Genomic DNA, 24184 nt, shown 5'->3' with positions numbered 1-24184 from the left:
TGAATCCACAGTGATTCCACAAAGACACTGACCTTAGAAGCCATCTACCAGAGGTGGTATCTGAATAGCACTACATCACCAGTGGACACTGGGTAAGGTTCATCCGTTTTGTTGAGCATAGGCTTGTGCCCCATGAGTTCAGCCAAGGTTAGTACTTTTAGGGCTTGAGTTAACCCCATTCTTCCAGTGGCACAACTTAGCCTCTTCCACTCTGGAGCTTCAGAGAGGGAATTAGTTCAGAGAGTTAGTTGTTTTTACAGTTCCACCACTGGAAAAAGGGAACGGGAATGACTTCTCAGGGATCAGCAAACTTTTCCTGTAAAGGCAAGTTTGCTGGTCACATACCATCTCTCTTTTTTTTTTTTTTTTTTTTTTTACAACCTTTTAAAACTATAAAAATCATTCTTAGCTTCAGAGCTGCACAAAGCCCATCATTATCCAGATTGGCCTGCTGACCAGATTTGTTGACCCCTGGCTCAGTTGACACTGATTTTGAAACATCTGCACATCATTTAACTGGATAACCCCTTGCTTTGTTATTCTGATCTCCAAAGCCAGGGATAAAATGGACAGATTCATCTATCCATTTATTCACTAACTACTTACTGAGTGCCAACCATGTCATAGACACTCAGCAGTGTTCAGAAGACACAAGTTACCAAAACTCAGTTGCCATCCTCAAGAGCTTATGTTTAATGGAGACAAACCACAAAATAGGCATTTTCTATGCAGTGTGATAAGTGCCACTATTCCAGTTATTCAGAAAACATTTATGAAGTACCTTATGTGCTAAACATGTTCTCAGTACAGGGGGAAGGTAACGCAGTGAACAAGGCAGGAGGCCCTTGGTCTCAGGAAGCTTGCACTGAAGTGGAGAAGCCAGATAAGCAAGCAGATAAATTGCTTTCACATGGTGGCAGGCATTTCACAGAAAATAAAAACAGCAGTGAAGCTGGGTGCAGTGGTGCACACCTATAATCACAGCTTCTTGGGAGGCTCAGGAGGGGGATTGCTTGAGCCCAGGAGTTCAAGTTCAAGTGTTCCTAGACCAAAACGAGGATCAGGCTGCTTACTCTCGTGGCCCAATAATGAGATGCAGATGAACTGGGAAAGAAGAGTTTTTTATTTATGTAACTGGTTACAGGGAGAAGGCCTGGAAATTATCAAAATTTGGACTAACTCAAAATTACAGTTTTCTAGAACTTATGTGCCTTCTAAGCTATATGTCTACGTGTAAGTGTGCATTTATCTAAAGACATAAGTGCTAACTTTTATTCTGTAACTGAGATCTGAGTCCTGAAGACCTTCCTCTGGAGCCTTAGTAAATTTTCTTAATCTAAATGGGCCCAGGTGCTGGGGCAATTACCCTTATCTTGTCTCCTGCTAAATCATGGAGGTTTGATGAGTTCTTGCAGACCTCCAATAAACTTGTTTGTGGAGACCTGGGGGGTTTCTTCAGACCCCCAATGAAACTTGCTTAATTCTAAATGGGTCCTTTTAAGAATTCCTTTTTTATCTCATCATGCTTCAAGGCCCAGGAAAGGCCTGGACAAAACTCTTGGTGAGCCTTTGTTACATTCCAGCATTTGTATTAGAGCACTGGCTCTATCAGCTTTTAATATTTAACTTAACCACTCAGTCAGTGCTGAAACAGTTGTTACAGAGGCCTGCGTTAGTGAGACCTGGCCTGCCGCAGCAGTGAATGATGATCACATTTATGAATAGCCACTGCACTCCAGCCTGGGCAACATAGCAAGACCCTGTCTCTAATTAAAGACAAAAACCAAGACCTGAGTAATGGAGTAGAGATGAATTGGGTGCATCCTTGGAAGGCCCCTTCAAGGAAGTGCTATTTTTCTTTCAAGGAATAATACAAGGAGTTAGCCATGCAAGATCTGAGGGAAGAACATTCCAGACACAGTACAGAGCAAGTCTAGAGGGTTTTGATTTGGAATAAGCTTGCTGGACTTGAGAATCAATGAGGCAAGCAGTGTGACTAGAGCACAGTGTGTAACCATTAGGAAATAAGGAGATCCATTTAGAAAGGTAGACTGGGGCTTCCGCAGGACAGCCTTTAAAAGCCAGAACAAGTTTAAGTTTTGTACAGGTGGTGAAAATTCCTGGATTCTTTTAAGCACATGACCTACTGATATGAGATGGGTAAGCCCAAGGTTCCTGGGAATACAGAGGAGGGACCTGTAACCTAGGCTTGGGAGGTAAAGAAGATGCTTCTTTTATTTTTTGTGAATGTGAAGTCATTTTTTTCTACTCTGGCTTCACAACAAAGGCCAACAAGTAATTTAGAGGACCCAGAGTAAATCGCTGGGACAAATCCAGCATAATCTTGAGTCCTGCCTCTTGCTTTTTTTTCTTGGTTCTGTTTCTTGGGCTGGATTTTACACAACTCACTGGTATCTTATTGAAGATACAGAGGAATAAATACAGAATGGAGAGAAGGATCTCACTCTGATAGCTACCAAACCTATTCTTGAAATATTCTGGCACTGTCACCACCTGTACAAGCAATGAGACAAGTCACCATCAACAGTGAGTGCTGAAGAGGCAGACCCAGGGGGATGAGTCTTGCTCACAAGTTCTGGTTGTTAGAGACATGGCTGATTCTGGGAGTAGCCCAAGAATTCAAGATGGGGAGTCACTGCCCCTGGCATCTGTTAAGATGGGAGAAATAAGAAAGGAGAATAAACACCACTGTCTCCCAGGAGTTTGGAATCCAGCTTCTTGTGCAATATTTGATGCAGAAGAAAATCCAGCTGAGAATGGTAATGATGACAAATCCCTTTTATGGAATAATCATAGAGCAAAATCAAGTGCTTAATCACATAGTACAAAGATAGCCAGTGTTCAAGAGAGACAGGTCCTGACTACACAGCTCTGTGACTTGTCCTGTGCCAACACTGCCGGTGTGCATGCTGGTGTCCCATACAATCCTGCTGTATCTCAGGCTGTGCACACCAAGACGACAAGAACCATGCCCTTTTTGTTCACTATATTCCTGGACCATAGCTCAGTGCCTGGCTCATGGTAGGTGAATAGATACTAATGAATATTGTTCCACTTTCTATCCTGACTATTCTCATATGTTCTTGTCCACTGACCTCAAACATGTCTATTTTAAGTTCTATCTCAAATTCTACCTGCTTTATCAAGACTTACCTGGGGACTTCACAAGAACCATATGCCCTCTTCTTCTAAATACCTGTAGCTTTTATTATTTTCACCTTTGATTTGGCTCTAAATCGTAGATGGCTTACTTTTTTAGCAAGGTCCCAAGCTTCCCAAGCTGTTTCACACTTACTACTTATATCTTTGCTAGGGCTGCCATAACAAAGTAAACTGTTCATTCTGCACTGCCTTGCCTTTTCTGCAGAAGCCTCAATAAAGGCAGTATCCCAACCCTTCCCTTTGTCTTTTTCCTCCTGACCACCTGATGTCTTTCCCATGTGGTCCTGCATGGCATGCCATGCCTCCTGTCTCTAGGACCTGTGAGTATAATAAACTTTTTTTTTCTGAGCTTCTATGTCTCCTCCTGTGGCTGCACCCAACCCATCTGACTGGCTCATAAAGAATACAAAATAGAGTGTGTAGTGGTATCTTATTTATTTACTTAGTTTAGAAATGGTGTCTTGTTCTGTTGCTCCAACTGGCCTTGAGCTCTTGGGCTCAATCAGTCCTCCCACCTTGGCCTCCCAAGTAGCTGGGACTATAGGCGTGTGACACCATGCCCAGCTTGGTATCTTATTTGAATTAGCATTTCCCTAATGATTAATAACCTTTTAATTATTTGCCATTTGTATATATCTTTTGGTTAAACATCTGTTCAAACCTTCTTCTTAACTGAGTTACAAGTTTTAAATATGTACAGATTCTGGATATAAGTGTTTTATTGTAAATATGTTTTACAAATATTTTATTTTTTATTTTTTTTATTATACTTTAAGTTCTAGGGTGCATGTGCACAACGTGCAGGTTTGTTACATATGTATACATGTGCCATGTTGGTGTGCTGCACCCATTAATTCATCATTTATATTAGGTATATCTCCTAATGCTATCCCTCCCCCCTCCCCCCACCCCATGACAGGCTGCGGTGTGTGATGATCCCCTTTCTGTGTCCAAGTGTTCTCATCGTTCAATTCCCACCTATGAGTGAGAACATGCAGTGTTTGGTTTTCTGTCCTTGAGATAGTTTGCTCAGAATGATGGTTTCCAGCTTCATCCATGTCCCTGCAAAGGACATGAACTCATCTTTTTTATGACTGCATAGTATTCCATGGTGTATATGTGCCACATTTTCTTAATCCAGTCTACCCTTGATGGGCATTTGGGTTCGTTCCAAGTCTTTGCTATTGTGAATACTGCCACAATAAACATACATGTGCATGTGTCTTCATAGCAGCATGATTTATAATCCTTTGGGTATATACCCAGTAATGGGATGGCTGAGTCAAATGGTATTTCTAGTTCTAGATCCTTGAGGGATAGCCACACTGTCTTCCACAATGGTTGAACTAGTTTACAGTCCCACCAACAGTGTAAAAGTGTTCCTATTTCTCCACATCCTCTCCAGCACCTGTTGTTTCCTGACTTTTTTTTTTTATACTTTAAGTTTTAGGGTACATGTGCACAATGTGCAGGTTAGTTACATATATATACATGTGACATGCTCGTGCGCTGTACCCACTAACTCGTCATCTAGCATTAGGTATATCTCCCAATGCTATCTCTCCCCTCTCCCCCCACCCCACAACAGTCCCCAGAGGTTTAATGATTGCCATTCTAACTGGTGTGAGATGGTATCTCATCGTGGTTTTGATTTTCATTTCTCCGATGGCCAGTGATGATGAGCATTTTTTCATGTGTCTTTTGGCTGCATAAATGTCTTCTTTTGAGAAGTGTCTGTTCATATCCTTCGCCCACTTTTTGATGGGGTTGTTTGATTTTTTCTTGTAAATTTGCTTAAGTTCTTTGTAGATTCTGGACATTAGCCCTTTGTCAGATGGGTAGATTGCAAAAATCTTCTCCCATTCTGTAGGTTGTCTATTCACTCTGAGGATAGTTTCTTTTGCTGTGCAGAAGCTCTTTAGTTTAATTAGATCCCATTTGTCAATTTTGGCTTTTGTTGCCATTGCTTTTGGTGTTTTAAACATGAAGTCTTTGCCCATGCCTATGTCCTGAATGGTATTGCCTAGGTTTTCTTCTAGGGTTTTTATGGTTTTAGGGCTGACATTTAAGTCTTTAATCCATCTTGAATTAATTTTTGTTTTACAAATATTTTCTCCCAGTCTCTAGCTAGACTAGTTTTACTTTTTTCTTTTATTTTTAATTGACACGTAATAATTGTATATGTTTATGGGATACAGAATAATATTTTAATACATGTATACAATATGGAATGATAAAATAAAGGCAATTAGCATAATGATCACCTTGAACATGTAATACTTCTTTGTGTTGTGGACATTCAAAATTCTCTTCTCTAGCTTCTCAAACATATACACTAATTGTTTTTAACTATCTTTACCTTATAGTGCTACAGAACACTAGAACTTATTCCTCCCATCAGCTGTGTAACTTCAGATTGTTAACCAACCTCTATCTTCTCCAGACCGCCCACTCTTCCCATTTATATCAGCTCAATTTTTTAAATTCCCGTATAGAAATGAGAACATGTGATATGTATTTTTCTGTTTCTGACTTATTTCTCTTAGTATAATTTCCTCCAGGATCATCCATGTTGCTGGGAATGACAAGACTTTATTCTTTTTTTTTTTTGGCTGGATAGTATTCCAGTGTGTAAATATACCACATTTAAAAAATCCATTCATTTTTTGATAGACATTTAGGCTGATTCATTATCTTGGCTATTGTGAACAGCACTGCAGTAAAATGGGTGTGCAGATGTACGTATGTCTTCAACATACTGCTTTCCTTCTGTTTGGATAAATACCCAGTAGCAAAACTGCTGGATTATGTGATATTTCTATTTTTAGTTTTTTGAGAAACTTCCATACTGTTTTCTGTGATGGCTGTACTGATTTACATTCCTACCAATAGTGTATAAGAGTTCCATTTTCTCCATTTCTTCACTAGCATTTGCTAGTGTCTTTTTGATAATTGCCATTCTAACTGGGGTGAGATGTGGTTTCGATTTGCATTTCCCTGAGTGTTAGTGATGTTGAAGATTTTTAGTATACTTTTGACCATTTAAATGGCCTCTTTTGAGAAATGTGTACTCAGATACTTTGCTAATCTTAAAATTGGATTATTTGGGGTTTTTGCTGTTGAGTTGTTTGAGTTCCTTGTGTATTCTGGATATTAGTCCTTTGTTGGATGAATAGTTTGCAAATATTTTCACCCATTTAACTGGCTGTCTCTTTACTCTGCTGATTGTTTCCTTTTCTGTGCAGAAGCTTTTAGGTTTGACATAGTCCCATTTGTCCATTTTTGTTTTTGTTGCCTGTGCTTTACCCATAAAATAAAGTTTTACCTATTAAATCTTACCTATAAAATTGTTTATTTGTATAAATTTATGAGGTACAAGTGTAACTTTGTTACATGTATAGATTGCATAGTGGTGAAGTTACTCATAAAATCTTGGTCTAGACCAATGTCCTGAAGCAGTTCTCCTATATTTTCTTCTAGTTTTATAGTTTCAGGTCTTACATTTAAATCTTTAATACATTTTGAGTTGCTTTTCATATATGGTGAGAGATAAGGATCTAGTTTTATTCTTCTGCATATGGATATCCAGTTTTTCCAGCACCACTAATTGAAGAGGGTGTTGTCTCTCTAATGTATGTTGTTGATGCCTTTGTTAAAGATCAGTAGGCTGTAAATATGTGAATGTATTTCTGGGTTCTCTATTCTGTTCCATTGGTGTGTGTGTCTATTTTTATACTAATATGATGCTGTTTGGGTTACTATAGCTTTTTAGTATATTTTAAAGTCAGGTAGAGTGATGCCTCCAATTTTGTCCTTTGTTCTCAGTATTTCTTTAGTTACACAAAGTCTTTGGTTCGATGCAAATTTTATCATTTTTTTTCTATTTCTGTAAAGAATGTTGGTATTCTGATAGGACTTACTTTTAATCTGTAGATTGCTTTGAGTAGTATGGTTATTTTAACAATATTCATTAAAATCCATGATCATGGGATATCTTTACATTTTTTGGTGTCCTCTTCAATTTCTTTCATTAGCATTTTGTAGTTTTCATTGTAGATATAGTTTATCTCCTTGATTAAATGTCATCTTTGGTATTTTATGTTTTTGGTAGCTATTCTATGTGGAATTAATTTCTTGATTTCTTTTTCAGCTAGTTCATTGTTGGTGTATAGAAATGCTACTGATTTTTGTATGTTAATTTTATATCCTGAACATCACTGAATTTATCAGTTCCAATGTTACCAGTGGCAGAGGTCCGAGTTACCCTGAGTTACCAGCAGCCTATCCATAAGGGTCCATAGCAACTTCAATTCTTGCCACCTCAGAAGAAAGAATTCCACTGAGGGGCATAAAGCAGAAAAAGAGACCAAGGCAAATTCCAGTGTGTAAATGGAGGTTTATTCAAAAAGGCCTTAGAACAGGAAATAAAGGAAAGTGCGCTTGGAAGAGGGCCCTTAAAGGTTAAAGGGAGAAGGTCAAGTGCTCTGTTTAACTGTGATCCTAGGACTTTTATAAGTTCACCTCTTTCCCATGATTCTTCCCTTAAAGTGGGCTTTCTGTGTACCCAGTGCTTTCCTTACCCTTTGGGATTGAGCTTGCACAGTATGTTTAGGGGGTTATACACATGCCCATCTGAGGCTTTCTTCCCTCTTCTGTTGTAGTGTGCCCCTGGAAGATCATACTTCACCATTTTTACTCTTAACATGCATGCCCAGAAAGTTGCTTACCCTGGGGTCTGCATTCAGTTAACATTTTGATATTAACAGGTGTGGATCATCAGGAAATGGCCTCTCCCTGGCGCTGCTGAATTATCATTTTTAGAGAAGCAATGTGACAATTGCTGAACCATCACCCAGCATTCCCAGCATTTCTAGTGGGTGTGGGGGGAGAGCCCTCTCCTCTCCCACTCATGCCTAACTACCTGTACCCTAAGAGATTTTTGGTGGAATCTTTAGGTATATATATATGTGTATATATGTACATATACATATGAACATGATCATGTTGTCTGCAAAAAGGGACAATTTGCCTTCCTCTTTTCCGAATTGGATGTCCTATATTCCTTTCTCTTGCCTAATTACTCTGGCTAGGACTTCTAGTACTATGTTGAATAAGATCAGTGAAAGTAGGCTTCCTTTTCTTCCAGATCTTAGAGGAAAGGCTTTTAGCTTTTCCTCATACAGTATAAAGTTTTTGTGGGTTTGTCATGTAAGTTTTTATTATGGAGGGATGTTGAAATTTATCAAATACTTTTTCTGCATCTATTGAGATGATCATATAGATTTTGTCCTTCATTCTGTTGATGGGATGTATCACATTTATTGATTTGTGCATGTTGAACAACCCTTGCATTCCTGAGATAAATCCTGCTCTATTATGGTGTATTTTTTGATGTGTTGTTGGATTCAGCTTGCTATTATTTTATTGTGGATTCTTGTATCTCATGAGGGATATTGGCCTGCAGTTGTTTTTGTTTTTTTTTTTTAAATTGTGTCTCTGTCTGGTTTTGGTACCAGACAGAGTACTGACACTCTGGCCAGAGTATGCTGGCCTCACATAATGAGTTGGGAAGAATTCCTTCCTCTTCAATGTTTTGGAATAGTTTGAGGAGAACTGGTGTTAGTCCTTCTTGGGAATTTTGGTAGAATTCAGCAGTGCAGACACCCAGTCCTCAGATTTGATGGTAGAATTTTTATTACTGATTGATATGGTTTGGGTTTGTGTCCCTGCTCAAATCTCATATCAAATTGTAATCCCCAGTGTTGGAGGAGGGACCTGGTGAGAGGTGATTGGATCATGGGGGTGGATTTCCCCCTTGTTGTTCTCATGATAGTGAGTGAATTTTCACAAGATCTGGTTGTTTAAAAGTGTGTAGTGCCTCCCCCTTCAGTCTCTCTTCCTCCTTCTCTGGCCATGTAAGACATACTTGCTTCCTCTTCACCTTCTGCCTAAGTTTCCAGTGGCCTTCCCAGTCATGCTTTTTGTACAGTCTGTGGAACTGTGAGTCAAGTAAACCTCTTTTATTTATAAATCACCCATTATTGGGTAGTTTTCTTTATAGCAGTGCAAGGATGGACTAATAGAGAAAACTGGTACCAGAGAAGTGGGGGATTCCTATAAAAATACCTGAAAATGTGGAAGTGACTTTGGAATTGGGTAATGGGCAGAGTGTGGGGGGCTCAAAGGAAGACAGAAAGGTGAGGGCAAGTTTGGAACTTCCTAGAGACTTGTTAAATTGTTGTGACCGAAATGCTGATGGTGATATGGATAATAAAGTCTGGGTTGAGGAGGTCTCAGGTGGAGATGAGGAACTTATTGAGAAATGGAGCCAAGGCCACTTTTGTTATGTGTGAGTAAAGAGATGATCTGAAACTGGAACTTATATTCAAAAGGGAAGCAGAGTGTAATAGTTTGGAAAATTTGCATCCTGGCCATGTGGTAGAAAAGAAAAACCCATTTTCTGGGAGGAATTCAAACTGGCTGCAGAAATTTGCATATGTAAAGAGGAACCAAATGTTGATAACCAAGATAATTGGGAAAATACCTGGAAGGCATTTTAGAGACCTTTGTGGCAGCTGTCCCATCACATGCCTGGAGGCCTAGAAGGGAAGAATGGTTTTGTGGGCCAGGCCCAGGGACCTGTTGTTTTGTGCAGCCTTGAGGCACTGCTCCCTGCATCCCAGATGCTCCAGCTCCAGCCATGGCTAAAAGAGCACCAGACACATCTTGGGTCACTACTCCTGAGGGTGCAAACCATCATCCTTGGTGGCTTCCACATGGTGTTAAACCTGTAAGTGTGCAGAGGGCAAGAGTTGAGGCTTGGGAGCCTCCACCTAGATCTTAGAGGATGTATGGAAATGCCTGGATGTCCAGGCAGAAGTCTGCTGCAGGAGTAGAACCCTCATGGAGAAACTCTATTAGGACAACGCTGAAGGGAAATCTGGGGTTGGACCCCCCCACACAGAGTCCCCACTGGGGCACTGCCTAGTGGAGCTGTGAAAATTGGGTCATAGTCCATCAGACCCCAGAATGGTAGATCTACCAACAGCTTGTACTGTGCACCTGGAAAAGCCACAGGCACTTAATGCCAGCCTGGAAAGCAGCTGTGGGGCTGTACCCCACAGAGACACAGGGGTGGAGCTGCTCAAGGCCTTGGGATCCCACCCCTTGTGTGAGCATGGCCTGTATGTTAGAGTCATAAGAGATTATTTTGGAGCTTTAGGATTTAATGACTGCCCTGCTGGGTTTTGGACTGGCATGGGGCTTGTAGCCTTTGTTTTGCCTAATTTCTCTCTTTTGGAATGGGAGTATTTAGCCACTGCCTGTACCCTCATTGTATCTTGGAAGTAACGAACTAATTTTGATTTTACAAGCTCATAGGAAGAAGGGAATTGCCTTGTCTCAGATGAGACTTAGGACTGTGGACTTTTGAGTTAATGCTGGAATGACTTAAGACTTTGGGAGACTGTTGCAAAGGCATGATTGTATTTTGCAATGTGAGAAGGACATGAGGTTTGGGAGGGGAGGGGGCAAAATGATATGGTTTGGCTTTGTGTCCTCAATCAAATGTCATGTTGAATTGTAATCCCCAATGTTGGAGGAGGGACCAGTGGGAGTTGATTGGATCATGGAGGTGGACTTCCTCTTGTTGTTCTTGTAATAGTGAGTTTTTGTGAGATCTGGTTGTTTAAAAGTATGTAGCACGTCCTCCTTTACTCTCTCTTCCTTCTCTGGCCATGTAAGACATGCCTGCTTCCCGTTGCCTTCTTCCATAATTTTAAGTTTCCTGAAGCCTCCCCAGCTATGCTTCCTGTACATCCTTGAAACTGTGAGTCAAATAAATTTCTTTATAAAGTACCCAGTCTCCAGTAGTTTTTTATAGCAATGTGAGAACAGACTAATGCACTGATGCAATCTCATTACTCACTGTTGCTCTGTTCAGGTTTTCTTTCTTCCTGGTTCAATCTTGGTAGGTTATATGTGTCCAGGAATTTATCCATTTCCTCTAGGTTTTCTAATTTGTTGGCATATAGTTGTTCATAATAACCTCTAAAGACCCTTTGTATTTTTGTGGTATCAGAAAATTACCATAGAATGGTAATATCTCCTTTTTGTTTCTGATTTTATCTGTTTGAGTCTTCTGTATTTTCAGTCTAGCTAATGGTTTGTAAATTTTGTCTTTTCAGAAAACCAACTTTTCCTTTTGTTGATCTTTTTTTTTTTTTTTTTTGAGACTAGGTCTCACTCCAATGCCCAGGCTGGTGTGCAGTGGTGTAATGTCTTCTCACTGCAAACTCCACCTGCTGGGTTCAAGTGATTCTCCTGCCTCAGCCTCCTGAGTAGTTGGGATTACAGGTGCCCACCACCACATCCAGCTAATTTTTATATTTTTAGTAGAGACAGCGTTCACCATTTTGGACAGGCTGGTCTTGAACTCCTGACCTCAAGTGATCTGCCTGCCTCGGCTTCCCAAAGTGCTGAGATTACAGGCAGGAGCCACCGTGCCTGGCCCTTTTGTATTTTTTTGTCTTGATTTCAGTTAGTTCTACTGTGATCTTTATTCTTTCTTTCCTTCTTCTAATTCTGGGTTTGGTTTGGTCTTGCTTTCTAGTTCCTTGAGGTGGATCTTTAGGTTGTTTATTTAAAATATTTCTATGTTTTTGATATAGGTGCAGAAAGATTGCTATAAGCTTCCCTTGTAACACTGCTTTTGCTCTGTCTCATAGATTTTGGTATGTTGTGTTTTATTTTCACTTGTTTCAAGAATTTTTTTGATTTGCTTCTAATTTCTTCCGTGACCTAATGGTTGTTCTGGAGCATGTTATTTAATTTTCATGTATTTGTACAGTCTCCACAGTTCCTCTCATTATTGATTGCTAGTTTAATTCCATTTTGGTCTGAGAAGATAGGTAATATAATTTCAATTTTAAAATCCTTGGTGAGATTTGTTTTGTGGCTTAACATATGATACATCCTGGAGAATGTTCCATGTCCTGATGAGACAAATGATATTCTTTAGCTGTTGGATAAAATTTTCTGTAAATGTCTGTGAGGCCCATTTGGTCTGTAGACCAGATTAAGTGCAATTTTTCTGTTGATTTTCTTTCTAGATGATCTGTCCAGCACCAAAATTGGGGTGTGAAAGTCCACAGCAATTATTGTATGGGCTCTATCTCTCCTCTTCAGCTCTAGTAATATTTGCTTTTTATATCTGGGTTCACTAGTATTGGGTACATGTGTATTTATAATCATTATATCCTTTTGCTGAGTTAATCTCTTTGTCATTATATAGTGACTTTTTTTGTATCTATGCTCTTTTACTTGAAGTCTACTTTGTCTTACATCAGCATAGCTATTCAACCAGTCTATATCTTTTAATGGGGGTATTTAAACTATTTACATTCAAGTTTATTACTGTTAGGTGAGAACTTACTCCTGTCATTTTATTAATTAATTTCTGATTGTTTTGTATATCCTTTGTTTCTTTCTTCCTCTCTTATTGTTTATCTTTGAGATCTAGTGGTTTTATATAGTGGTAAAATTTGATTCCTTTTTCTCATTTGTCTATCTGCTCTGAGTCAGTTTTTTAGTTTTGAGTGTTTTCATGATGGTAAATATTGTCCTTTTGCTTCCAGAGGTAGAAACTTCTTACTTCTTGTAGAACTAGTCTACTGGTGATGAATTTCCTTAGTTTTTGCTTGTCTGGGGAAGACTTTATTTCTCCTTCATTTCTGAAGGATAGCTTTGCTGGGTGTTGTATTCTTGGCTAGCAATTTTGTTCCTTTCCACAGTTTGAATATATCATTCCATTCTTTCCTGGCCTGGAAGATTTCTTCTGAGAAATCTGCTTTTAGTCTGATGAGTAGTCCCTTATATGTGACTTGACACTTTTGTTGTTTTTAGAATTCTCTTTGTCTTTGACTTTTGACAGTTTGATTATAATGTACCTTGGAGAGTACCTTTCTGAGTTGAATCTATTTGGGAATTTTTTGAGCTGTCTCTATCTGGCTGTTTATATCTCTTCTAAAACTTAGGAAGTTTTCAGGCATTATTTTATTAAATAGGTTTTCTATGACTTTCCCACTTCTTCTCTTTCTGGAACTCCCAAAATTTGAGTATTCTTTCACTTAATGGTGTTCCATGTGTCATGTAGGCTTTTATAAATCTTTTTTCTTTGGGTTATTTCAAATGACTTCTCCTCAAGTTTAGAAATTCTTCTGCTTGGTCTAGTTTATTGTTAAAGGTCTCAGTTATATTTTTTATTTCATTCATTGAATTCTTCAGTTTCAGAATTTCTGCTTAGTTCTTTTAAAAATATCTATCTGTTTATTGAATTTATCATTCAGATTATAAATTGTTTTCCTGATTTCTTCATATTGCTTGTGTTCTCTTATATCTCACTCAGTTTCCTTAAGAACATTAGCTTGAATCCATTTTCAGGCACTTCATAGATTTCTTTTTCTTGGGGTATGTTACCGAAGAGTTACTGTGTTCCTTTGGAGGTGTCATGATTCCTTGGTTTTTTGTTTCTTGGGTCCTATGTTGAAATGTGTGCATCTGGTGCAATGGTTGCTTCTTCCAGTTTTGTGAAGTAGCTTTCATAGGGAAAGACTTTTCTTATACCTGTATCTATAGTGTTGGTTGGGTAGGATCCTTTGGCTTTGGTTTTGGGTGGGTGCCATAGTGTAAACTCCTTATGATTTATTCAGCTATAAGCAACATTAGTGGTGTCTTCAAGTCCCTCAAGTGGCTTATGTTGTTTTTGAAGACTGTGGTGAGGCTTTGCTGAAAATGAGGATGCTTGTCCTCAGGCTCCTAAGTGACAGGCTTCCTGATGGCTCACCTGGGTGGTGGCAGTGATGGACTGGCACTTGGGCCCCTGTGCAGTCTGTGTTGGTGGTGATGATGGTGGCAGGGGAGCCCTGGGCAAGTTGGTCCTTAGTTCTCAGGTCCCACAGTGGAGTGGAGTGTGCAGGCACTGGTGGTAGTGGTGGCAGGCCCCAGGTGACTTTTTATTTTCTTAATAATATCACGTAGTAAAAGTTTAAGTTTTGATGAAGTCCAAAATATCAATTTCTTTTTCTATGGTTTGTGCCTATCTAAAAAACCATTACTTATTCAATCGCCTTGATTTTAAAAAACATTTTTACTGAATGTAGAATTATTGATTTACAGTGTTTTCTTTCCTTTTGCATTTGCATATGTCATTCTAATGTTTTTTGACCTCCAGTTTCTGATGAGGTGTCAACGATTAAGTGTGTCATTATTCCCTTGTATGTACATTATTTTTCTCTTACTGCTTTCAAAACTTTTTTTTTTTTTTTTTTTGCTTTCAGCAGCTTCACTATGATGTACCTAGGTGTGGTTTTCTTTGTGTTTATTCTACTTGGTGTTTTGTAAGCTTCTCAGATCTGTAAAGTAACATATTCTGCCACACTTGGTAAGTTTTCAGTCATTTTCTCAAAAAAATTTTTTCTTATCCTTCTATTCTTTTTCTGTGACTCCAATGACATGTATGTTGGACTGCTTGATATTCTATCGCATATCTCTGAGGCTTTGCTTCTTTTTCTTTGATTTTTTCCTTGTTCTTGGGTAATTCTTATGATATTTAAATTCACTAGTTTTCTCTTCTGTCACCTTAAATCTGCTGTTGAAATTCTGTAAATTTTCCATTTTAGTTACTAGCTTTTCAACTCTAAATTTTCCATTTGGTTCTTGTCTATAGTTTTAAGTTATCTGTTAACAGGACCTATTTGTTCATTCATTAATATCACATTTTCCTTTACTTTTGGGACATATTTATAATAGCAGTTTTGAAGTCTTTGTTCATTAAATTAACATCTGAGCCTAGAGTCAGTTTCTGTTTATTGACTTTTCTCTCCTGGAGTGTGGGTTACATTTATTTCCCCATTTCTTTGTATGTCTAGTACTTCTTGGCAGAAAACTGGCTATCATATGTAATACAATGTAGCAGTCTGTTTTGTTTTTCTGGGGCTTGCTGTTTCTTGTTTTAGTAGGCAGTTAACTTTACTGGACTCAAAACTGCAAAATGTTTTATGCCATCCCCCATACCCACTCTGTAATGTGCAGCAGCTGATGTTTTTGCTTGTTTTTTTTTTTTTTTCTTAATCAGCTTCCAGCTGCTGCTAATTCAGTCTGGCTTTCTGGAGGTTTCCCCTGTACCTGTGTAATTTGGCAGTCAGCCAAAAATCTGAACAAAATTTATACTCCGATTTGGGGGCTCACTCTCTCTTTGGTTCCTTTGTTTTTGGAGCTCCCACATACATTTCCAGTTGCTTTACTAGTCCTTAGTTTTGTCCTTTGACCCCTGAAACCAGTAAAACTTCCGATTTCTACTGCCTACATTGTGTGAGTTGAAGAATGTACTCAGTTGAAAGCACGATTAACTCACAAATCTTACCAGGTGCAGTTATGTCTTTCCAGAATAGATCTCATTCTAGTTTCTGCTTTTTTCTAACTGGTATCCCTGGGGTCTCATGCATGCATATGTGCTTAGTTGTCAGCCAGGGGTTTGAGATTTTTATGTCTTATTTTAAATCCTTCTCTATCTCGAGGACATAAAGATACTCTATACTTATAAAAGTTAAAAATGTTTGCCTTTTATGTTCAGGTTTTAAATCAATCTAAAAGTATTTTTGTATACAGTAGGAATCTAATTTTTTTTATCCATATGATAGTCAGTTGGCCCTCCTTTCTTCAGTTACCTGCAGTGCATCAATGTCATCAGTCAAGTGTCCATATATGTGGTGTTTCTGGGCTTTTCCCCTCTTCCAATTATCAGTGTTTATCCCTGTGTCAAAATCACACAGTATAATTATTACAACTTTATAGTAAGTCTTAATATTTAGTAGGGCAAGTCTTTTTATTTGATAAGAGTATCTTTGCTATTCTTTTACTTTTACTCTTCTGCATATATTTTAGAATCAGCCTGTCAAATTCCTCAAAAGACTGTTTGGATAAATTTGGAATTACATTCAATATAGATCAATTTGGGAATAACCAAGAGTTTTGGGATATTGAGTCTTCATTCATTAACATAGCTTTTCTCTTCATTTATTTAGGTCTTATTTTTTCATAGAGCTTTAAAAGGTTTACTATAAAATCTTTAAGAGGTAAACTCTTGAATAAGGTCCAGAGTTAAATAGTGGAGAGTTACAGGTGTCTGTTTGCCCCAAACAGACTGATGGTATTTCAGCCATCTCAGGATTTGGGGAAGTCAGCACAAGGATCAAAAGACTGAGAAAGTTTAACTTCTCCTCTAGGATGTTTTTAGTACACACATTATATTTATAAGGAAACATATTGTAAATAATAGAGTGATAATGGCCACTTACCTGAGCCTTATTATAAACAGAAACAAATATCCAACCAATGCCATAGAGCAGAAGTACAGCCTGAAACCAAGAAGAAAAAGAGCAATTAAATCAGGATCTCATCTAGGCCAAGCTTGAAAAGGAAGCTTATTTCCTATTTGTCTTCTGCCTAATGAATGTGTCATTACTGGGGACCTTACCAATAAAGGTGCTTGGATACATTTTCCAGCACAGAAACTTAATTTGCAGGAACATGATCTTTACTTGTAAAAGGATACATTCTTAATTCGGGATGGTTATTTGAGCTGATTTTCAAGGCATTTATTTTTAATTTATTTGTCAGATGGGAATAAAGGTGGTTTATAATTAAATTTAAAAGATAGTTTAAAAAAAGAAAGAAAAATAACCATTCAGGGAAGAGGGAAATAAACTATACTAACATTCCATACCATTGAAATTAAATAAGTTTGGCTCTGATTTTCTTTACAAAGAAGGAATAAGATGAGTTAAATATGTGAAGAAAGAAGATACTTGAAAATTCTGAGAGACCAGGCAGCTGGTTCTCACAGAACCCTGTGATGATCACCGAAGCCCCAGGTTCCTCCAGCCCCTGGAGTTCAGAGATTTTCTCTGTAAAGCTTGCCTCCCACTGGGTCAAGAGGAACCAGAGTACCTTTGGACTCATCAGAACACTTGTGCTTAAGTGGTTATTTCCTGATGTACCCAATGAGGTCTTGTGCCCTCCATCTATTAACTTCCTTCTTACCTTCTCCTGGGAATCCTCACTCCTAGCTTAGCTTCTAGCTGTGGGAAGATCTCGAAGTGCCCAGAGTGCTCTTCGCAGAGACACCTCTTCAAGCTCCAGGCCTACCATGTAGGTGATCTGACTCCCTGTGCTGGAGTTTGTCACCTGGAGATTTATAGCCAGCAAGGTGCCCCTCCCAACGTTGGAGTGTGGCGTCCAAGTCTAAGGTTGCTTCCTAGTCACATGAGGACGTGACCCAGGAAATCCAATTTAGAGGCTTGATGTGGGGTTTTACCTGGCCCCAGGCTTGGGGCTGTTCTTCCTTGCTGCCCACATGTAGACTTTTAGCAGATCTTCAGCCCACAGGCTTTCTTGGAAGGAGCGGCATCCTGCAGCTGTTCCACCCACCTTCAGAGCCTGCCACCCAGGCCCTCAGAACTGAGCCACATTTGTCATTCTGGTGCCATCAGAGCAGACTGGTCTGGTTATGAGAGAAAATGGCCCTGTTGCTCTGTATTGAGGGAGGTACATTCTTACATCTTGTCACCCCCTCACCAGGAACTGAGGATTTGGGATGAGATATGGTAAAATGTGTAGATAACTCCAAAGATGTAAAGATGGCTTGTGAAACCATTTTGAATGAACCGAATGGTTTTCTGTGGCTCCCACCAAACCTGGCCAAGCTCAGCTTCTAAAGCAGGAACCAGTACTGTCTCTGTGCCTGATCCACAGCATACAAGTTAGGAAAGAATGACGATGGCATTCTTGGACCTCACTGGGACTGCTGAATTGGGTGGGAACCTTTCTAGAAGAGGCAGATGGGGTTCAAAACACTGCCCAATTCCAGGAAGGGGCCACAGGTAGATCTCAACGACTGCAGCAAGACCACTAAATGACTTGGGAAACTTAAAACCAAGTGGCTCATGGAGAAAACAAATTTGACTTACAAAAGGGATTACATAGGAATAATGTTTGGACTTGATTTCCCCACCTCATAATCAAGAAGGAAAATTTGCACCTGCTTCTGGTCAGGCCTGCATCTCTAAAGCTTGGGAGGCTGTCTTCCAGCAGCCTCCACAGCCTTGGGCTTCCACCAGCTTCTCTGCATTTGGTCTGTTGATTATGTTGAAACAATGTGTATGGAAACTATGGAAAGTATAACACAATCTTACTAAGATGACTACCAGGTACCAAAACAAACAAACAAACCCCAGAAAATTCTGACGGGTAAATGGCGGTGAAGGCCAGGGCTTCTTACTAGGTTTTGACTGCAGAAGTATTCTTTATTTTTTTATAGTCTGAGAAAAAAGGTGAGACTCAGAAAGGATGGAGCTTTCTGATTTATTTCTAAAATGTCAAATGGTTTATACAGAGATAGGTTAATTACCAAAGAATTATAAAATCATTTATAATTTAGGAGAATAAATTCTATTTCCTATAACAAAGATATGCCACAATTTTTTTTAAATTACATTTTAAGTTCGAGGGTACATGTGCACAACGTGCAGGTTTGTTACGTATGTATACATGTGCCGTGTTGGTTTGCTGCACCTATTAACTCATCATTTACATTAGGCATTTCTCCTAATGCTATCCATCCCCCAGCCTCCCACCCCATGACAGGCCCCGGTGTGTGATGTTCCCCAACCTGTGTCCAAGTGTTCTCATTCTTCAGTTCCCACCTATGAGTGAGAACATGCGGTGTTTTTCTGTCCTTATGATAGTTTGCTCAGAATGATGGTTTCCAGCTTCATCCATGTCCCTGCAAAGGACATGAACTCATCCTTTTTTATGAAGATATGCCACAAATTAAATAAATAATCAAATATTTATAAGGTTAAAACCTGGTACTCCTGGGAGATTAATCAGAAGATTTGTAGTTCCTAGTTGAATATCTCAAGGACATTGGCTGAGCCCATTCTCAGTATGTACTGCAAAGGGCAGAATATATACATACAGATATATATGTGTATATATATGTGTGTGTGTGTGTCTCTGTATACACACACACACACATATACACACATATACATATATATCTGCATATGTGTTTAATGTTAATATGGTTCCTTCCTTCCTTCCCCTCTCCCTCTCTCCCTCTCTCCCTCTCTCCCTCTCTCCCTCTCTCCCTCTCTCCCTCTCTCCCTCTCTCCCTCTCTCCCTCTCTCCCTCTCTCCCTCTCTTTCTTTCTTTCTTTGTTTCTCTTTCTCTCTCTCTCCTTCTCCTTTTTTCTCTTTCTCCTCCTTCTCCTTCTCCTCTCTTTCTCCTTCTCTTTCTCTTTCTCTTCTTACAGAGTTTCGCTCTTGTTGCCCAGGCTGGAGTGCAGTGGTGCATTCTCGGCTCACTGCAACCTCTGCCTCCCGGGTTCAAGCGATTCTCCTTCCTCAGCCTCCCAAGTAGCTGGGATTACAGGCAGGCGCCACCATGCCCGGCTAAATATGATCTTTTCTTAACCTATCTACTAACAGTTCTTTCTTCACTGCATTCCTATTTCCTTGGAATGTAAACATTCTCTCTCCATTAATTTACTAAGTAGAATGAAAATCAGCAGAATCCCTTTGACAAGTCAAAGACTTGGCTTCTTTCCTCTATGACTTCACAAGAATTCTTTTATATTTACTCAAAGTTGAAAGCAAATTTTTATGTTTATATAGTTTTATTTGGATAATGATAAAGATGGAGGTTTGTTGCTGCAAATAATATTACTTACATTCCACTTACCAGCCCCAATAGCAATTCCTGAAGATGCGTCTATCCCAGCCAGGTCCATAATATGGCTACTGCCAATATTGAAGGCCAAAAGAGATATACCTATCTGAAAATCAAAAGAGGACTACATATCAGAACTTTTAGTCTAACTCCAAGAATTAATGCTCACAAATGCACATTCTCACTGAATTTCACATTTTCTCAAAAGGAATTATTCCCTGGGCAGAATTCCCATTAATGTTTCTTCCATATAATCTCTGATGATGAATTAGAAGCCAGGCAACAAGGAAGGAAGTGAAAAGAGTAGAATAACTGTCCTGCTGCTGCTGCTCTTCACGTGCTCCACTGATATACAGGTTGGGCGTCCTATATCTGAAAATCTGAAATCTGAAATGCTCCAAAATCTGAAACTTTTTGAGCACTAACATGAGGAAATACTCATTAGAACGTTTTTGGATTTTGGGTTTTTTAATTTGGGATGCTCAACTGAGGTAGGAGGTGGGACTGGACTCCAGAGGCTGGGCTCAGACACTGGACCAGATTGAGGACTAGCTAAAACAGGGCCAGGGTGGAAGCAGCTTTCCAATCAGACACACCCACCAGTGTGCCATGTCAATTTACCACCGCCATGGCAACACCGGGGAGTTACCGCCCCTTTCTATGGCAATGACCTGAAAACCCAAGAGTTACTAACCCTTCCCTAGAACTTTCTACATAAACTGTCCTTTAATCTGCATGTTATTAAAAGTGGGTATAAATGTGACTGCAAAACTGCCCTCAACTGCTCCTCTCTGCCTATGGGGTATCCCTGCTTTGCAAGAGCAGTATGGAGCTGTAACACTGCCTCTTCAATAAAACTGTTTTCTTCTACCTCTGGCTTGCCCTTGGATTCTTTCCTGGGCAAAGCCAAGAGCCTTCATGGGCCAGGCCCCTGTTTGGGGCTTGCCTGTCCTATATCACAACTAGTATTATAATACAAATATCCCAAAATCTGAGAAAATCTAAAATGTGAAGCACTTCTGGTCTCAAGCACTTTGGAGAATGGATACTAAACTTCTACTTGCAATTCCCTAATGCAGAAATATTTGTAGGAGTGTAATTTGTTTGAAATACTGTAATTTAAAAATTTAACAATCTAACAGACATCTAGGATTAAGAGACTGGTTAGAATACTGTTGTACATGAATATGATGAAATATAACATAGCATACAAAAATAATAGGGTAGCTTTATTAAGTCATAAAAATAAGGTAAACAATAAATATAATCTCATTAAAATTTTATCTATGTCTATTGCACTTGTGCACGTATGTTTATATTTGCCTGGGAGTAATTCTACCAGTGGATATAACAATATTTCTGGGGGCTGGAATTATTGGTTATAGAGATGGAGTAGGGAGGAAATTTCAAATTCTATGCTTGGGCTGTAACTTTTTTTTTTTTTTTTAACTAATCAACACCTGTTACTTTCAAAATAAAAACTCCTAGAAGCATTTACAATGAATAAAATACCTCCTAAACCAATAATAACTTTTGAATGGAGTGGAGGTAACCACTGCAATAGAAACCAAAACCTCACTATTATGCTGCTGACATGAGACACATTTAAACCCAAATTATCAAGAGAGGCTGAAAACAACAAAGTCTTTTAGGTAAATGAAAACAAAAATAAAACAGCATCGATGATACTAATATGAAATAAAGTAGCATTCACAATCAAAGCAGGCAAGGTGTGGTGGCTCACGCCTATAGTCCTGGCAGTTTGGGAGGCTGAGGTGTGTGGGTTGCTTGAGCCCAGAAGTTTGTGACCGGCCAGGGCAACATAGTGAGACCCTGTCTCTTCAAAAAAATACAAAAATTAGCTGAGCATGGTGGCATGCACCTGTAGTCTCAGCTACTTGGGAGGCTGAGGTGGGAGGATCAATTGAAGCAGTTGTCAAGGCTGTGGTGAGCCATGGTTGTGCCACTGCATGCTAGCCTGGGCAGCAGAGAGATCTTGGAAAAAAAAAAACCCAAAAGCATTAAAGAAAACAGTTTTTCAAAATAAATATAAAAGGTAAAATGTACTAATAAGACAGTTGGGAACATACATGCTTTAAACATCTTTTTTTTTTTGACCGTTATGAAATGTATGTTTATTCTGAAACTTCTAACTAGTTGTACAATTGACCCATGATAAATTACCAGATTAATTTCACTTTATTTCTTCAGACCTGGGGTTTTTCGATGACTTCAGATTTGGGATCTTCAAATTTGAAGTTGGGAAATGTATTCATGTCTGTTTTACCAAACATTTGCTTGAACTTAAAAAGCTCCCTCTCAAGCTCTTGCTGATACTCTGGACCAGTATCAACAGGTCCTCCAGATGTCTGTCACTTCGATTTGTATTCTCTAATCTTGTCCACAAGAGTTTCTGTATAGGATCAAGTTCCTTATTAAATGCCACTGCTGTAACACTGATGTTCCTCCACAAATGGACTGAGACTGCTGACAGAATGACAGAGGAGAACCTGAAGAGCCTCTGAAGAGTCATGCTGATTCTATGTTACTTGCACTCGGTCCTGAGCTGCCAAAGCCACCACCGCCACCAATCTACTTCCTAAACATCTTAGCAGTGACAAATATAAAGCAAAAAAATCTAGAAGAGGCACATAAGTGCTTGAGTAATGGTTATTTTTACTGTTAATGTTGACTGTATCAGAATAGTGAAAACTTATTTATAGTCTAAATTGCCCAGTAATGCAGTGAATAAATAATGAAATATCTATATGATATAGTACCACGCAACTGCATATAAAGTATCTCTATCTGTGTTTATATAGACTTAGAAATATATTCTTATTACATTATTAAATGAAAAGGTAGAGTAAAAAGTCATTCATGGTTGGGTGCGGTGGCTCATGCCTGTAATCCCAGTACTTTGGGAGGCTGAGGCGAGTGGATCATTTGAGGTCAGGAGTTTGAGACCAGCCTGGCCAACATGGTAAAACCCCATCTCTACTAAAAATACAAAAATTAGCTGGGCATGGTAGAGGGCACGTGTAATCCCGGGAGATGGGGGTTATAGTGAGCTGTGATTGCACCATTGCACTCCAGCCTGTGTGACACAGCAAGACTCCATCTTAAAAAAAAAGTCATTATTAATTTCATATGCATTAGGGTCCATTGCCAACTATAGGTGAGGTACCGTTGTAGGTGTTTTTTGTTTTTTGTTTCTTTTTGAGATGGAGTTTTGCTCTTGTTGCACAGGCTGGAGTGCAATGGTGCGATCTCGGCTCACTGCAACCTCCGCCTCCTGGGTTCAAGTGATTCTCCTGCCTCAGCCTCCTGAGTAGCTGGGATTACAGGCATGCACCACCACGCCCAGCTAATTTTGTATTTTTAGTAGAGACGGGGTTTCTCCATGTTGATCAGGCTCGTCTCAAACTCCCGACCTCCGGTGATCCACCTGCCTCGGCCTTCCAAAGTGCTGGGATTACAGGCGTGAGCCACTGCCCCTGGCCCATTGTAGGTGTTAAGGACACATTAGTGAGTGAAATAGACAAAAATCCCATCCCTGCCCTCATGAGGCCAACATGCTTTTGGAAAGAAGAGAAACAACACAATAAATTAGAGGATGATTTTATAGCATAACAGACAGCAATAAGCACTATATAGCAAAGAAAGGTGGGGAAGTGGCCAGGAACCCTGAGTAACAGGGCGGCCGGGGCTGACTGCATAAGAGAGAGCCAAGGGAGACCAGAAGAGGTGAGGGGAGGGACCCGTGGGGATATCCAGAGAGAGCATCCAGGCACAGGCCCTGAAGTGGAAGCATGGCAGAAACATTGAAGGATGCTGACTAGAGCTGGGGACAGGCATCCTAAGAGGCAAGGCCTGAGAGGGAAGGAGGTGCAGATCCCCTGCAGCCTGATGTAGGCCATTGTAAGCAACTGGGCTTTCACTCTTGGTGATGGAGAGGCGCTGGAGGGCTCTGAGCTGGAAAGTGCCATTGTGTGCCTTGAGTTAGAATAGGCTCCTTTAGCTGCTTTGTGGAGTCTTCATGCAGAGAAGCTAGGGTGGGAGCAGGGAACCCAAAGAGGCTGTTTTAACTGAGATGAGAGATGACGGCAGCATGGCCCTGGGGGTAGAGTTGGTGAGAATTGGTCAGGTTCCAAGTATCTTCTAGATCGAGCACAGGATTTTCTGATGGATTGCATGTTGGGTATGAGAGAAA

At 39.6% G+C, this 24184-nt stretch overlaps 1 pseudogene; it reads right to left on the bottom strand.

Moving 5' to 3' along the window:
- Window positions 1-22178: 22178 nt before the first annotated feature.
- Window positions 22179-22504, bottom strand: ATP5PFP2 (ATP5PF pseudogene 2; annotated as a pseudogene).
- Between the last annotated feature and the right edge of the window lie 1680 nt (window positions 22505-24184).

This window comes from Homo sapiens, chromosome 22 (genome assembly GCF_000001405.40).
Source record: "Homo sapiens chromosome 22, GRCh38.p14 Primary Assembly".
In the NCBI taxonomy this organism is placed as follows: Eukaryota; Metazoa; Chordata; class Mammalia; order Primates; family Hominidae; genus Homo; species Homo sapiens.
Note: the sequence above shows the minus strand (reverse complement) of the source record. Positions and strands in the feature narration are given on the sequence as shown.